The 16,089-nt window shown below is 41.1% G+C and overlaps 1 protein-coding gene across 15 annotated transcripts in view, besides 5 other annotated features; it reads left to right on the plus strand.

Annotated features, from left to right (window-relative positions):
- The window catches only part of RASGRP3 (RAS guanyl releasing protein 3), a 128,384-nt gene that overhangs the window by 52,405 nt on the left and 59,890 nt on the right, over positions 1-16,089 (plus strand). Inside the window, exon 1 of one of the 15 annotated variants that reach the window (XM_047443878.1) lies at positions 3,996-4,420. The exons of 13 other annotated variants lie outside the window; for them this stretch is intronic. The gene's annotated coding sequence lies outside the window, so the exon portion shown is untranslated. Of the gene's footprint in view, positions 1-3,995; positions 4,421-16,089 lie in introns of those variants that run through there. One more of the 15 variants, XM_017003761.3, reaches the window with a different exon arrangement.
- Positions 5,643-5,762: an enhancer, noted in NCBI's record as "active region_15565". NCBI's record gives its function as "activates an Ori minimal core promoter by ATAC-STARR-seq in GM12878 lymphoblastoid cells {active_cell/tissue: GM12878}" and the evidence as "EXISTENCE:reporter gene assay evidence [ECO:0000049][PMID:35858748]".
- Positions 6,753-6,902: an enhancer, noted in NCBI's record as "active region_15566". NCBI's record gives its function as "activates an Ori minimal core promoter by ATAC-STARR-seq in GM12878 lymphoblastoid cells {active_cell/tissue: GM12878}" and the evidence as "EXISTENCE:reporter gene assay evidence [ECO:0000049][PMID:35858748]".
- Positions 8,690-8,739: an enhancer, noted in NCBI's record as "active region_15567". NCBI's record gives its function as "activates an Ori minimal core promoter by ATAC-STARR-seq in GM12878 lymphoblastoid cells {active_cell/tissue: GM12878}" and the evidence as "EXISTENCE:reporter gene assay evidence [ECO:0000049][PMID:35858748]".
- Positions 9,740-9,999: an enhancer, noted in NCBI's record as "active region_15568". NCBI's record gives its function as "activates an Ori minimal core promoter by ATAC-STARR-seq in GM12878 lymphoblastoid cells {active_cell/tissue: GM12878}" and the evidence as "EXISTENCE:reporter gene assay evidence [ECO:0000049][PMID:35858748]".
- Positions 10,509-10,658: an enhancer, noted in NCBI's record as "active region_15569". NCBI's record gives its function as "activates an Ori minimal core promoter by ATAC-STARR-seq in GM12878 lymphoblastoid cells {active_cell/tissue: GM12878}" and the evidence as "EXISTENCE:reporter gene assay evidence [ECO:0000049][PMID:35858748]".

The following is a 16,089-nucleotide window of genomic DNA, read 5'->3' on the forward strand; positions in this document are numbered from 1 at the left end:
ATGTTAAATCTTGCTGATTGGTTCAAGAATTAAAAATCAAGTTGAGATGATGTCTAAAAGACATGTTCATTCAAATGTTTTTTGTTGATGAAGATATCGAGTATTCATTTGGAAACTGAAAAACTCAGTCAAATAGCCAGGCATTTGCCTACACAAGAAACAGACATTCTGATACTAGAAAAGATTTTAGGGGTTTGACCGATTTTTTTTTTTTCTGGTTTCCATTTTGATGTTATGGCATCAGTCTATATCAGTGGTTCTCAACTGAGAGTGATTTTGCCTTCCGAAGGACATTTGGCAATGTCTGGGGACATTTTTGGTAGTCTCTACTGGGAGTGGCAGTGGAGTATTACTGGCATCTAGTTAGTAGAGACCAACGATGCTGCTAAACATCCCAAAATGCTCACGACAGCCCTGCATGACAATCAATTATCCAACCAAATATGTCAATAGTACCAAGGTTGAGAAATCCTGATCTATGTGAAACAATTAAAAATCTCACGCAAACATGCCTTCAAAGACACTTTAGATGAGTTACATGCAACATTTTTGCTTGTCTGCTGCTGAGCAGTAAGTGATGATGGCCTAATACACTTGCAGAAATACTGCTGCATCGGCGTCAGGGTGGAGATGAGATGTCAAATGGCCAGTCCTTCAGAATGAAAAGCCAAGTTGAATGGTTCACAACACAGGCTGACAGCACTCTTTGGTGTCCAAAAGATCAAATGTTGGCAGGCAAGGATACTGATATTTAGTCAGCAGAAAATATTCAAAGCAATGAGGGACACATTGTTGTTTCTTTTGTGGGTTTTATTTTTATTTTTTATTTTTTTGGCAAGATCTGGCTCTATTGCCCAGGCTGGAGTGCAGTGGTGGAATCTCAGCTCACTGTGACCTCTCTGCCTCCCAAGTTGCTGGGACTATAGGCAGGCACCACCACACCCAACTAATTTTTGTATCATTTGTAGAGAAGGGGGTTTCACCATGTTGGCCAGACTGGTCTTGAACTTGTGAGCTCAAGCACTCCTCCTGCCTCAGCCTCCCCATGTGCTGGGATTACAGGTGTGAGCCACTGCTCCCAGTTGACAGATTGTTGATGAGGACAGAACAAGGGATCTTTAGGTCATAAGTCATGGGACAGTTGATCCTGGGACTTGGGAAGTTCATTTCTCTGTTTCTGGCTTTTTTCATCTTCAAAAACTCAGGAAAAGAGAACTGAGGGCATCAGAGCAGGCTGATTTGATACACTCTTGCTGCCAACCTGATGACTGTATATCTCTATGATTTATGTGATTCTTTCTCATGTTCCCTTTACTAATTATAACTATTATCCATGTTTGTAACCATGTTCTTCTTCCTTCTTTCATATTATAACTGGAACCCATTCTCTTCCCTTTGGTTATCTTCTCTTCCTTCTGAGTTTTCAGCTTCCTCTACTATGTTCTCCTCATCAGTGCATCGGTCTGCTTCAGTAACTCTCATCTTTTAAAAATATCCTTTGCTTGCCACAACCTCTGCCAACTTCTCTTCACTGCAATTCTAAACAAACTTGTTGAGCTCATATTCTACACACGTTTTCTTTGTTTCTTTACCTCTCATTTACTCTTGCACTCACACCAAACTAGCCTCTGCCCACAGTTCTGTAAAACTACCTTTGTCAAGGTCACCAGTGACCTCCTTGTGTTAAATTCTAAAAAAGCAGATCATTTCTCTTTCTCCTCTTATTTAACTTTGCAGTAGCATTCAACATGATTGACAGCTTCAGCTTCCATTCTATCCCTGGCCTCATGGCACAGCGTGCTTTTAAGTTTTCCTTCTCTTTCTCTGACAGGAGCTCCTCAAGATGCTTTGCTGCTCCTCCTCCCCTCTCTGACCTCTAGATGTTGGAAAGCCCAAGGCTTAAGAGTGGGTCCTCTTGTCCTTCCTCTTTATACTTTCTTCCAGAGCGATCTGAGCCATTGCCATGGCGCTAAATGCTGCTTACCTGGTGATAAATCCCAATTGTAAATTGCATCTCAGATCTTTCCCTGGAGCTCCAAATTGTATATGTAACTGCAACTCAAGATCCACACATAGAGTTTCTCATCTGGCCTGTTTAGTTCACTGCCGGATACCCAGGCCCTGGCATAATGTCTGGAAGGTAGAGACGTATTTGTTGAGCCAGTAAAGAATGATTTGGATACTGGGCCTAAAACAGATACATTTTTTTCTGTGACAAGGTAAGAGTTAGCTGCTTTTGTTGTCAGAGTTACACTTTTATTAGATTAAAAGATAACATTTAGAGCAGGCACGGTGGTTCATGCCTGTAATCCCAGCACTTTGGGAGGCCGAGGCAGGCGGATTGCTTGAGGCCGGGAGTTTGAGACCAGCCTGGCCAACATAGGGAAACCTCGTCTCTACTAAAAATACAAAAATTAGCTGGTGTGGTGGTGCATTGCCTATTGTCCCAGCTATTTGGGGGGCTGAGGCAGGAGACTCACTTGAACCTGGGAGGCAGAGGTTGCAGTGAGCCGAGATCGTGCCACTACACTCCAGCCTGGGGCAACAGAGTGAGACTGTGTCTCAAAAAAATTAAAAATAAAAAAAGTAAAACTTAATTGTCACCCAGAAAAAAAAAAGAAACAAGATACTGTTTAATAACTGCTTACTGGTTGATGGATAGATTGATTAATCAATTGGAAATGTATTAATACTTAATCTTTTTGTATTCCAACTTATTTATTTATAACATAGAAATAATGCTATTATTTGCCAAATCATTTTAAAGGACAAAGGTAATTGCTTTTTAATATCCTGTGGAGAAAGACATTAACTACATACAAAATTGCACACAAGATGGTGTAGAGATTGCATGTATTATCAGTTTCCTTAGTCTGGAGACTGCATTGCGTTTGCATCTGAACTCTTGTGGTTTGTGAGCCAACAAAATATCATCAGTCCTCATTGTTATAAGTTTTATTTGAAAGCTACCATTGGATAGTGTTTTTGTGATGTGGCTAGAATTATATAATTGTCTATGCAGCCTCGCAGCCATCTCTCAGCTGCCCTGCACTGAGAGGTGCCAGGTGAGGCTGGTGGACAGCACAGCACAGCAGCCCGTGGCTGAGGCTTAGGCTAGGGCACAATGGACTTTCTGGCATCTGGCCAAGGTGCTGAAGGGTAACGGGGGTGAACAAAGTGGAGTAGGAAGCAACTTCATGGGCAGGAGTCAGGAGTAGTAGTTCTAGACCTGGACAGGATCATAGGTACTTCTGCAAAAGAGAAAACCTGTTTTCAGAATTGAATGTTCAGCCTGAGGTTGCTCATGGAATCTTGGGAGGAGATGAAAATTTCAGTATCTTAAATTTTTGTGACTCCAAACAACTGATGGTGAGAATCAGGAGGTGAAGTTATTTTTCCTCTCCTTTTGCATTGGGCAAGTCCATTTGCTTTAAGGTAATAAAAAATGACATCGAGTGGTAGAAACTCAGGAATTTTGATTTCCCTTTGTCTTCTTCAGAAATCCTCTGGGGCAATTGACCTTTGTGTGTTTGAGTAAAGGTTATGAAACTTTTATTACAGACCTGCTTCGAGCCCCCAAGGAAGGCTATGGGCCTTTATCCTAGAAAGAAGCCCATGGACACAAATACACAAAATTCTGTGTGTGATTTCAGGATTGTATAGATCTCCAGTCCTTGGTTGAGAGCCTAGATGTGGACTGAATTTTGTACCCCCCAGCATCCATATGTTGAAGCTCTAACCCCCAATATGACTGTGTTTGAAGATAGAGCCTATAAGGAGGTAATTACGGTTAAACAAGGTCACAAGAGTGGGGCTGTAATTTCTGATAGGGCTGGTGTCCTTATAAGAGGAAGGGACACCAGGCTTCTCTTTCTGTGCCATGTGAGAACACAGGAAGAAGGTGGCCATCTGCAAGCCAGAAAGAGAGTCCTCACAGGGACTTCTCAGCCTCCAGAGCTGTGAGAAATAAATTTCTGTTATTTAAGCCATCCAGTCTGTGGTGTTTTGTTATACCAGCTTGTTAAGACAGGCCTCTACCCTGGAAGCTGCCCTGGCCCGTAATGTAGCTGTGCTCATGCTTACCGATCCATGGAGGCATCAGGATGGGGAGGGGAACATTCTAGTGAGCAAATGTTCTGGGGACATGTATGGGAGCCTTGGTGCACCGAAGTAGGTCAGCCAGTAGTACCACGCCTGGCTCGCTCTGCCCAGGCTTCATGAGTCTGCAGTGACAGGGTGAAGTATAAAGGTCATCCAGAAGAATGATGTGCCATCATGCTGAGTGTGTACCTCTTCTTTAGGTGTTCATTTCACTGGGCAGGTTGTCTACCAGAACCAAGGGGCCTCTTTGAATTTTCTTTCAAGCTATTAATAAGAGGCATGCATCCTCCTAGACACAATCATCCATTTAGTAAAATAGGTAAGTATCTCCCCATGGCTAAAATTGGAGCTACCTGAGCCCTAAACAACTGACAATGTGGGAAGCATTTGCTCCAGACGAATCCACTTATCCCATCCCTATCCTTCTTGAGAAAGCTGCCATTGTCTGATGTGGGTAGAATCTGGGGACAACAACAGTGAGAGGTGCGGTATGCAGACTAGCTGGTCCAACACCTGGGAGAGCAGGGGCAGAGTCCCTAGTGGTGCTGTCAGAGTGAGTCTGGACTGGGCAGAGGAGTACTTGAAAGTCTTTTCTGGAAGAGTTAAAAAGAGAAGCCAAGGTTTGAGTGGCTAAAAGAAACCAGCAAAATCTGTGGGATTCAATGTGACAGGAGTAAATGAACAGTGTCAGGACCCAAGTGTTGGAGCCAGAGAACCAATGGTTTGTGCCAAGACCCATTTAGAGTTCCCAGCTCCACCTTCTCAAGCTTACCTCCACCAAGTCACCTTCACCCATCTCACAGACATCCAGACCTGCTTGAGATGCCCGGCACCCAACAGCCAGGGATTAGAGCTTTTTATTGAAATCCCTGCTATCATTTTAGACCAAGTTCCTGAATGAATAAAAAAAAAAATCTTTTGACAAGGAGAGATGATCAGATTGAAATAATCTTTACAAAATTAAAAAAAATAGGTGCCCTCAAAATCAGACCAGTGAGAAGAAATTCCATGACTGGTGATAGCATATAGCTGTTTCATTTCTCCGTATCAAAATGGCCAAAGGGTGGCTTCGTGTCAGAAGACCCAGATGTTTTTAAAGCAAATGCATTAGTTCAAAATCAGCCTACTGCCTCATATACTTTTTATGTCTTAGAGACCCCAGTATGAGTCTGGATTCTATAGAAGCTCACTATGATGGAATATTTTCCTTTCTTTTACTAACTCACTATTTACAACTTAGGCAAATCACCTTATCATTTTGGCCTTGGGGCTCTCCTTTATAGAATGAGGTAGTTAAACTGGCAACTAAGTAAAAAAATCCCCTTGAAAAGTGGACATATTCTGTGTCGCCTACTAGCACAACCTCTTTCTCTGTTGGAGCTACGGTTTTCTCTGAGTAGACTAAAAACACTATCAGAAGACGTGAATGACCAAGATGATGAAACCAGGTGCTTAGAGACCAAGGCTCGCAGCTGCACTGATCAGTAAATAACGCTTCCCTGGTTTCTGGTTTTCCTTTTTAGAGTAATAAACAACAACAAAAGTAGAGTACCGGTTCAACTTGTGTAGTCACTAATTATACAAGTGACTCATTCTAAGGGCTAGAAATTATCCTACAGGAAATTATCCCAAAGGGTCTACCGTGATGAATATCTGTGATTTCCTTGAGTCTGACATGGAAAAGTAAGCTGTGACTCGTAGTCAACAAATCCAAACCAACCTAGAGAGGAAGTGGGAGAGAGTGAAACTATATACTCACTATAGTGTGTGGAATCTGAAAATGTTTGCCTCTAAGCACGAATAGGTACATATTTTTTTCTCAGGTAGCCCAACGTACATTCTAGTTTCTCTAAATCTTTACAAAGTAAAGTATTGAGGGGGCATTGGCACCCAGTCCCATGCTCTTTAGAAATCATTAATGACTATTTTGCTGATTTTGAGAACTTTTTCTATTAATATAAAAGAATAAACCAGAAATCTGAGGAAACTCTAAAACTTGAAGGCAATCTAGACATTTAGAGGATATTACAAGTGGAAATAAATACTAATGTCTTAGACTAACCAAGCTTGACAAATGCTGCAGAAATCTCCAAATTTACTTTCTTGTTCAGGCAAGAGGTGAAATTTGTCTTGCAATTTGAAATTACGTTTAGAGTAAACATGTGTCAGAAGGCTTAAGTAAGCATAGTAACTGTCTTGTCATTCTTCCTTGTCCACTCCACAAACAGTAACATTCCAAAGATCTGCACTTTGAAAGATCCTCCTTAGCTTTTGCATCTGTGGTGTCAGTAGGTAGCCCAGTGAGTCTGAGGTAGGGCTTGTAAGTGCAGATGTCTACAGCAGCAATCCCTAACACTTTTGGCACAAGGGACAGATTTCGTGGAAGACTGTTTTTCCACAGACAGGGCAGGGGCTGGGGGTTGGGAAGATGGTTTGGGGATGAAACTGTTCCACCTCAGATCATCAGGCAGTAATTCGATTTTCATAAGGAGCATATAACTTAGATTCATTGTTTGTGTAGTTCACAATAGGGTTTGTGGTCCTGTGAGAATCTAACGCCGCAGCTCATCTGACAGGAGGGAGAGCTCAGGCAGTAATGTTCCCTCACCCGCATTCACCTCCTGCCGGGCAGCTTGGTTCCTAACAGGCCATGGACCAGGCCATGGCCCAGGGGTTGGGGACCCCTGGTTTACAGGACCAGGAAGATATTATAATGATGTAATGAGTGAAATGAATTAGGAATAAGAAAAATTCTGGACGAGGCATGGTGCCTCATGCTTGTAATCCCAGCACTCTGGGAGGCTGAGGCAGAAGGACTGCTTGAGCCCAGGAATCTGAGACCAGTCAGGGAAACATAATGAGACTTCATCTCTTAAAATAAAAAAAGAACAATTCTTTCTCCGTTTGGAACAAGTGATAGTTCACTTTCCTCTTAAATCTACTGAAAGAGAAAAGGCACATAGTGGGATGGTAAATGGTAATGTCACTTGGTCTCAACTTGGGGAGACAGCCGAAGGTAGGAGGGACTTTGGGGAACTGGGAGTCAGTCAGTTGCTGCTCAGCTCCATCCAAATGTTGCCTCATGGGGATGCAGCCCTAAAATGAGCAGAACCAATTTTTCCACAAGAATCTAGAAAACTGGATTTTTAAAGTAAAGGTTCAGATTTGTACATTTGCACAATTAATTCAAAATTTTTGAAACTTTGTAAGAGCCAATCCTGTATGGCCCTAACAAAAAATATACATCTAGGGGCTAAATCTGTTTATAACCTGTAGTTGCTGAGTGAGGTAGAACTTATTAGCTTGCACCATCTTCGATTTGGAGAAAGGACAAAGATTCATGGTTCATTATTTGTATGTCTTTAAATAGGCTTTATCAGATAAAGAGAAAAAAGTTTAAAAAGCAAGGCATTTGAGGACAAGATTTATAGTGTGTGGACAGGAACTCTGCTCTTGCATTTCATTCCTATAACATCAGAGCCAGAGTTCTTGGGTTAATACAGAATGCGTGATTTTATTTTAGGATCCACAGCACAATGAAGTAAGATATTGCTGATGTCAGGCTTATGGCATCTATAGTCATCTTGCTGTGAATATGGTCCTTAATAAAGAATTCATTAGAATGTTTCAGATAGGGCCTATGTTACAACAAAGATATGGAGATCTGGATATATCTAGATGACATGAGGAATTTTCTAGTTGTCAAAAAATAAATGTTTGGGCTGGGCACAGTGGCTCACACCTGTAATCCCAGCACTTTGGGAGGCTGAGGTGGGTGGATCACTTGAGGTTAGGAGTTCAAGACCAGCCTGGGCAACATAGTGAAATCCTGTCTCTACCAAAAAATACAAAAATTAGCAAGGTGTGGCGGCGCATGCCTGTAGTCCCAACTACTCAGAAGGCTGAGATGGGAGAATCACTTGAATCCAGGAGGCAGAGGTTGCAGTGAGCCAAGATTGCACCACTTCACTCCAGCCTGGGTGACAGAGTGAGAACTTATCTTAAAAAGAAAACAAAACAAACCAACAAAAAAAACAAACCCCTACTCCCATCACATTGCTTTAGATGCATGAAAGCAATACGTTTTGGGTCTTGAGTATTTCTTGACATTTCAAGTGTAAATACAGCTTTAGATACTTCAGCATTTTTTTCCTACTCATTGATTAATGGTAGCTTTTTTTCTTTTTCTCCCAATTCAAGTACGTAGTAATAAGTTAATGTGAGATTTGTACATTTTAATTTGTATTTTTCTGTTTTAATAATATAATAAAATATTTTGTGTTGCATTTAGTAGTAAAGAAGTATCTTTTTACCTAAATGCTTGGTGAATACTTTCAAGTTTTGTATGATTAATAGTTAAAGGGTGCTAAGATAAATAAATATATACATGCTCTGTTTCCTGAACTGGAGATTAGAAACAAAGTTTGAAAAGAAGCCAGTAGACATGAGATATTGTGGTGAGATAAAGATTGGCAAGGGTCTAAAACTGTGAACTTGCAGACTTGTGAAATCCCCACAAATTACCACAGAAGCTGATGAGGTTCTCTTTTTAATTTTAGTCCCAGCTTGGTTTCAGTTACTATTTCAACTCTTCAGCATCCTTATTATGACTAGTAGATCTGTTAGCAAAACTGCTGGTGGAAAAGTTTTTGTGTAATATCCACTCCCCCAAATTGTTTTAGGGACATTAATCACCTGACATGCATTTATTTTCATTCTACAGAAGAATAAATGCAATGTCCAGACTTGGATCCCATTCAAGATTCATTGGTCTATTACTGACATTTCTAAATGTATCTACTGAAATCTCCTGCTCTTTAACCTCTTTGCAGGAAGATATGTGTCTTTGTATTCCCTTGAGTACTTTCGGTATGTGTTTAATAAATACTTCTTAAAAATTAGATTGTAAATTGATCAATAAAGATATCATTGAATGGTTTGGGTGGTATGCCCAGAGACAGCTAGTTTTAATCTACCAAAATAATGAATAATACAGAGTAAGAAGCATATTATAGAATTTTCATTTAAGAAAATATGGACTAAGTCATAGAAGAAATGGGATTTAAACTAGTTCTCATTTCATGATACAGATTTCTGGCCTACACTGCCTTTTTCCCCTCCCTTTCTCCAGCCCTTCTTTCCTTTCTCCAGCCCTTCTTTCCTTTCTCCCTTCTCTCTTTCTTTCCTTTCTTTGCAAAATGGGTATATGTAGGTAAAATGTATGTGGCTTATGAATTTGAGAGGAGTGACAGAAATAGGAATCATTGCATCCCTCAGTAGAGGGCACTTTTTGGTCCCTTACCAAGAAAATAATAACAGCAGCTAACACTCATTGAGGGCATACTATGTGGCAGTTAATAAGCACTTTACCTGTTATTAACTTACTTAGTTCTCATAACAACCCTACAACACAGACATTATTATTATTCTATCATACAGTTAAAGATACAGACACACAGTAAATTAAATAACTTACCCCCAAACCACACAGTTAGAAAGTTCAAGAGTTGAATTTGATCCCAGTGGTCTGGCTCTAGAGTCCATGCTCTTTACCATTACATTGTACTTAGAAAAGAACTCAGTAAAGAACGAGTAAAATGTGTAAGGCCAGCAAGGAAGGACTGTGTTGGGTTATGTCACATGGGCTTTCACAGAAGCTTTCATTATGATGTTCAGAACATGATAGTCCCTCTCTCCCCTTCAAAATGGTTTTGAGTGAAAGAATGAACAAATATATACTTTAATCCCAACTTGAAGACCTCACCATCCTCTGAGCATTCCTGATTTTCCATGCCTCCCTGCCTTCTTCAGTGCCATTTTCTCTGTGTGCAGCATTCTCCTTCTTCTCTCTGCCCAGTGCATCCCTGCTTGTGCGGCTAGGCACAGCTCGGTTCTATGAGTCACCTTGTTTTTACCTCTCTCACAACACTTTCGTAATGCCCCTGATCATAACTTCTGTCCATGTGTGCCCCCTCTCTAGATCCTCAAGCCTCCGAGATCACAATCTGTGCCTGACATATGCTTGTACCTCCACCATGGTGTTAATCATAGTGTCTGGCACAGAAATAAGTGTTTATTCAACAGACAAGAAAGTGACTGGAGAAGTATTCACTGTAATTTTATCCTCTTTAACAATCTGTAATACTAAAAATTGGGAAGCATATCTTGAAATTCCACTATGAGCCTGTTAATATAAAAGAAATAAATGTATTCAATAATCAAAAGAGAAACATCAAGACAAGAATAAGGTTAGACTCATCCCCAACCCCCTCCCATTTCTGACCTCTGTTCCTCTCCTAAGATTCACCCCATCCCTGGTCCTAGCCCAATCCTGGACAGTGAGTCCCTCCCTAAGGTGAACCACCTGTCTCCCTGGCTTTGTCCAGACACCTAATCCTCACTCTATACAGTGATTGAAACCCCAGTTTTTGGCCAGGTGCGGTGGCTTAATCTCAGCACTTTGGGAGACCGAGGTGGGTGGATCGCCTGAGCTCAGGAGTTCGAGACCAGCCTGGGCAACATGGTGAAACCCCCATATCTACCAAAAATACAAAAATTAGCTGGGTGTGGTGGTGCGCACATGTGGTCCCAGCTACTCGAAAGGTGAGGTGGGAGAATTGCCTGAACCCAGGAGGTGGAGGTTGCAGTGTGCCAAGATCACGCCACTGCACTCCAGCCTGGGCAACGGAGTGAGACCCGCATCTCAAAACAAAACAAAACCAAAACCAGTTTTTGGTATCTCAATGCACAATGTTAATTAAGTAGCAAAATCTCGGCATTTAAAAAATCTGAAATATTTACATAAATGATTTGACCCAAATCACTTGTAAGGGTCAACTGATTTGGATCAAATCACCTGTGTCTTGAGCTATACTCAGAGAATTACATGCCCCATTAAAATATCAAATCCAAAAAAAAAAAGAGAGGATAAGATTAGAGAAGAAAATTAAAGAAGAAACCAATTTGAAGTGTACAGACCATGTCAAAAGAATATGATGGCAGAGAAAAGTAGTCATATAAAGATATCAGGCACACTTCTGGGCTAGGGGATAGAAAAAATACAGTTTTGTTCTTAAGCCATTGGAGAGACCGACAGAACCATTCAGTAACATAAATTTTACAAAGCTAAAGGAAGTCAGTACACTGAGTGCCAAAATCCACCTGGAAGGGTGAGGAAGGAAGAGGAGAATTCTGGAAAAGGGAGTAGGGGATTGCCAAGCGTAAGTATTGGGAGAGGAGAGACATTCAAAAAAATAAAGAAACAATGTGTGCAAAGCATGGGGTCTGTGAAACCAGAGTTCCCTTTCACAGCAGTATCACATGTGCTGGAGTAAAGAGAGGAAAAAGGAGGGAGGGAATGCAGGGGGCAGGCTTTGTATGCCATGGAAAGGACTTTCTATTTATGTAAGACCACAGGGAACTGTGGAAGAATTTTGGAGACAGGAGTTCCGCAATCAATCTGATAATTTGGAAAGATTGATTTGGGCCCAGGAGAGAGGGGAGATAAACAGGAACTGAGAACCAATATAGAAGTCTGAGAAGTGAGCCATTGCGGTGGGCCAGGGGATACGGGATGACAGCTTGAACCCAGGAGAGGCGGTGGAGATGAAGGGCAGTGGGCGAGGAGAAGAAACAACTGGGAAGTAGGTGATCAGACTTGGGCATGAGGGATGGCAAAAGAGAGTGCTAGGAAATCTAGGGTGAGTCCCAAGTTTCTGGCATGGAATACTGGGAGGCAGGTTGAGCCATAGACCAAGGAAGGAAATATGGGAGATATAGCAGGTTAAAAAAATGAGAAGGAGGTGGGTGCGGTGGCCCACGCCTGTAATCCCAGCACTTTGGGAGGCCGAGGCAGGCGGATCACAAGGTCAGGAGTTTGAGACCAGCCTGGCCAACATGGTGAAACCCCATCTCTAATAAAAATACAAAAAGTAGCCGGACATGGTGGCGCGCACCTGTAATCCCAGCTACTCAGGTGGCTGAGGCAGGAGAATCGCTTGAACCTGGGAGGCGGAGGTTGCAGTGAGCCAAGATCGCACCACTGCACTCCAGCCTGGCAACGGAGCAAGACTCCGTCTCAAAAAAATAAATAAATAAAATAAAGTGCACAGTTCAATGGTATTTAGTGTATTCACAAGGTTCTTCAACAACTAGCACTATCAAATTGGACAGCAATTTTATCACTCCAAAAAGAAACGGTGAACCCACTGCAGTCAATTCCCATTCCTGCCTTCCCTCAGTGCCTGGCAACCACTAATCTCCTTTCTGTCGCTATAGATTTGCCTATTCTACATATTTTCTATAAATGGAGTTGCACAATATGTGGCCTTCTATGTCTGGCCTCTTTCACTTAGTATAACATTTTCAAGGTTTATCTATATTGCAGCATGTATCAGTACCTTGTTCCTTTTTATCATTAAATAATATTCCATTGTATGGAGATATACTTCATTTTGTTTATCCATTTGTCGATTGATAGACATTTGGGTTGTTTTCACTTTGGGGAAATTATGAATAATACTGCTATGAACATTTTTCAATTCTCTTGGGTATGTACCTAGGAATGAATTTGCTAGATCATATGATAACTCTATGTTTAAGTTTTTGAGGAGCTACCTAACTCATTTCCAAAGTGACTGTACCATTTTACATTTCCACTAGCGATGGATGAGGGTGAGATACGAAAACTCACCCAAATGTTAAGTAAAACTTGTCCAAAGTCACATGCTAGTAAGTAGAAGAGCTAGGTTGCAATCCCAAGTCCACCTGTCTCCAAACCCTACTCCCTTCCTCTGCAGTTTGCGTGTAGCTTGTCTCTGTTTGGTTTGGAGTCATCAACGTAGAGGTGGTAGCTGAAGCCACTTCTGTGGATGAGTTCAGCATGGAGACATGAGAACCGTTGGCAGTTTAGAGGCCAGCAGTAGGAAAGGAGTCTGCAGATGAGACGATGAGGTATGACCAGAGGCAGAAAAACCAGGGAAGAGATGTTGCCAGGAAAACCAACCAAAAGGAGAATTTAAGGGAGGGTGTGGTCAAGAAGTACTACACTGCGGCTAAGCCTTAGCATAAGAAGACAATGAAGAGAGCTTAGCGGGTGTAATGACTTTTGCCAGAGTAGTTTGAATAGAGTATGAGGGCAGGAAGTAGAAGGGGAGTTAGACAGAGCTTGATTTGGGTGGTCTGAAGAGAGGATCAAATAGAACCAGCAAATTCTACTTGGCTGTGAGGGATGGGAGAGATGGCCAGTAGAGGGTTGCTAAATTTTGTTTGTTTGTTAGTGTTTGGTTTTGGCCAGAAGACACCTCACGTTTATCTATGTAGAGGAAATACAAGGGGAGTTACAAGCTAGAGGAAGGAGAAGTGGTAAGACGCATGAACTCTAGACAGTTACACCAAGGAACTGGTGAAGAGAGAAGAAAGGCATGGTGCTGTTTCTGTGTGTGGAGGTGGGTGGGGGTTGGGGGGTGTAGATACCTTCACATGGTAGGTCAAGGGAAATTAGTTCACTCTGGGCTTCCCTTCATTTGTCTTAATTTGCTCACACTTTAGTAAATTACAATTGATTAATTCCTCCTTTTACAACCTACCAACAACATCCTTATTCCTATTCCTTGGTCTCTTTTAACTGTCTCTTTCTTTTTTTCTTTCTTTTTTTTTTTTTTGAGATGGAATTTCTCTCTGCTGCCCTTTTGCCTAGGCTGGAGTGCAGTGGCAGAATCTCGGCTCACTGCTCACTACAACCTCCGCCTCCCGGGTTCAAGGGATTCTCCTGCCTCAGCCTCCCAAGTAGCTGAGACTACAGGCACGCACCACCACACCCAGCTAATTTTTTTGTATTTTTATTAGAGACAGCGTTTCACCATATTGTTCAGGCTGATCCCGAACTCCTGACCTCAGGTGATGCACTCGCCTTGGCCTCCCAAAGTGCTGGGATTACAGGTGTGAGCCACCATGCCCAGCCTTCCTCTAACTCTTTAACCTTTACTTTATGAAAAGCTAGCTTCTTCTCCCTCTTTCTTTCTCATTCTCTGTCTCTCTAGATCCACTAATGAGTCCAAAATACACATCAGAAACCCTAGTTTCTCAGAGTTGTGGCATTTCTGAAAGCTAATCTGGCATGGTAGCAAACCAGTCTATCAACCTCTAAAATTCTTAAGAACTCCCAAAGTTCTCTTTTAGCATTTTGACAGACTGTTTCCCATATGTAAATCTGTTATTAATCCATTTGTAATATTGTTCTAATGGAAAATATATATTCTAAATTTCAACCACTTTACAAATTTAGTTGGGAACATTTCACAATTTTAGGACTTCCTTTTTTCTCACTGTGATTTATGCTCTTAAAACATTTTTGAAATGAATTTTTTTTGTTCTGATAAGGAGGGCAGAGTCGTAGTATTTATCTCATGTCAGAGATGATGAAAGTGAGCCTCAGAGAAGTTAAATGGGACCTAAGATACTACATAAATTTTCTAGTCAGTTATATTTTCTTTTTTTGTAGGTATGGACTGTGATTTCATTTCAGGAGTAAGGTGAAATTAGTTGATGTCTTAGATGGGAGGAAGACATATCGTTGGCTCTTGAGATTTGTTTTTCTTTTAGAGAAAAGAAGGACCATTTGCTGCAGGAAAAACATCTGAAACAAAAGGGAATGACAAAGTTATTAAGTGGAGCCTTCTAATTATGGGCCTCAAGCTGTGTAACTTTATTTGAGAGCACAGAAATAATTTTAAACACACTTTTTTTTTTGGTTCCTGTACTTTACCGTTAATTGATTCCAATAAAAAGTCTAGCTCCAAATCCCTGATTTCAGAAGTAATTTCAAACTGAGACATTACCATCCCATAAAAGAGTACTATAAACACATGGGTTTCTAAATAGGAGCAAAATGTTTTCACTTAGATGATAACATAGTACAGTTTCTCTTAGAAAAGAGAAATTCATATTACATCTTCAGTATCTATATATACAAAGTTAGCGTCTAAATGGTAAAGGAAATCTATTTATTAAAGCTTATCACTGTCAATAGTGAAACTGGATAATAAAATTAATAATAAAAATAAAGCAGCATTGTGCAACCCCTATGCTTTTTGCAATCCTTTCATTTATTTGTGCCTTTAAAAAAATCCAAAGGTGGTTCAGAACTCAATATATCCCTACCTGACCCCAATCATTTTCTCTGTCATCAGCTTTTAATCTAAATATTGTTGTCTCATGTGTATTCCTATTCATTTTTCACGTAGTGATAAATTTCTGGATTGCAAATTGCATATGTCTATCCTATGCCTAATTCTGGAATCATGTTCAGATATTTCCAACCACCTTACTGTCTGACACTATTGGACTTAGCCTGTATTTTCTATTGTAATTTTGTGACCCATAAAGCTTAGTATCTTTCCTGTCAAGAAGGCCTCCTAGATCTCCTTGGGTGGAATTTGGTCCCATTTCTGTGCTCCCGCAATGCCCTGGGCATCTGTCTCTGTCACCAGACTTAATGGACTCATTGGTTTATAATAACTGATTTATATTATGTCTCCCGCATGGGATTGTATGCTGTTGAGAATGGGCTCTCTACACCTCCAGCCTATTGCTATAAACATTGTGCTTAATGCTAAATAGACAATAAACATTGGCTTTTGTGCCCAGCCAAACTAATGCCTTTCTCTGAAAACCTGGAGGTCCATTTAAAGACAGTCTTTCATTATGTTAGTGCTTCTTGCTGCATTCCTGTGGAGCAACTTAAAATTCTTGTTTTCAAATCCTTTCCCTTGTTTTTAGCGACAGTCAGCTTCCACTCCCAGCCTAGAGTGATGGTAGTTTAGGAGAGATTTTGTAGTCCAGGCTGTGCCTTCTGTTCACATTCTCTTGCTTTTTAGAGGCTTTCCATGCAATGTCTTCATTCCCTTGGAGCCTCTTTTGTGTAGATTCTGTCCTTGGAGATTGTCATCTGGATGCAGTGGGAAGACCCCTAAGAATTTTACTTATGCA

The sequence above is a fragment of the Homo sapiens genome, chromosome 2 (assembly GCF_000001405.40).
Source record: "Homo sapiens chromosome 2, GRCh38.p14 Primary Assembly".
Lineage (NCBI taxonomy): Eukaryota > Metazoa > Chordata > Mammalia > Primates > Hominidae > Homo > Homo sapiens.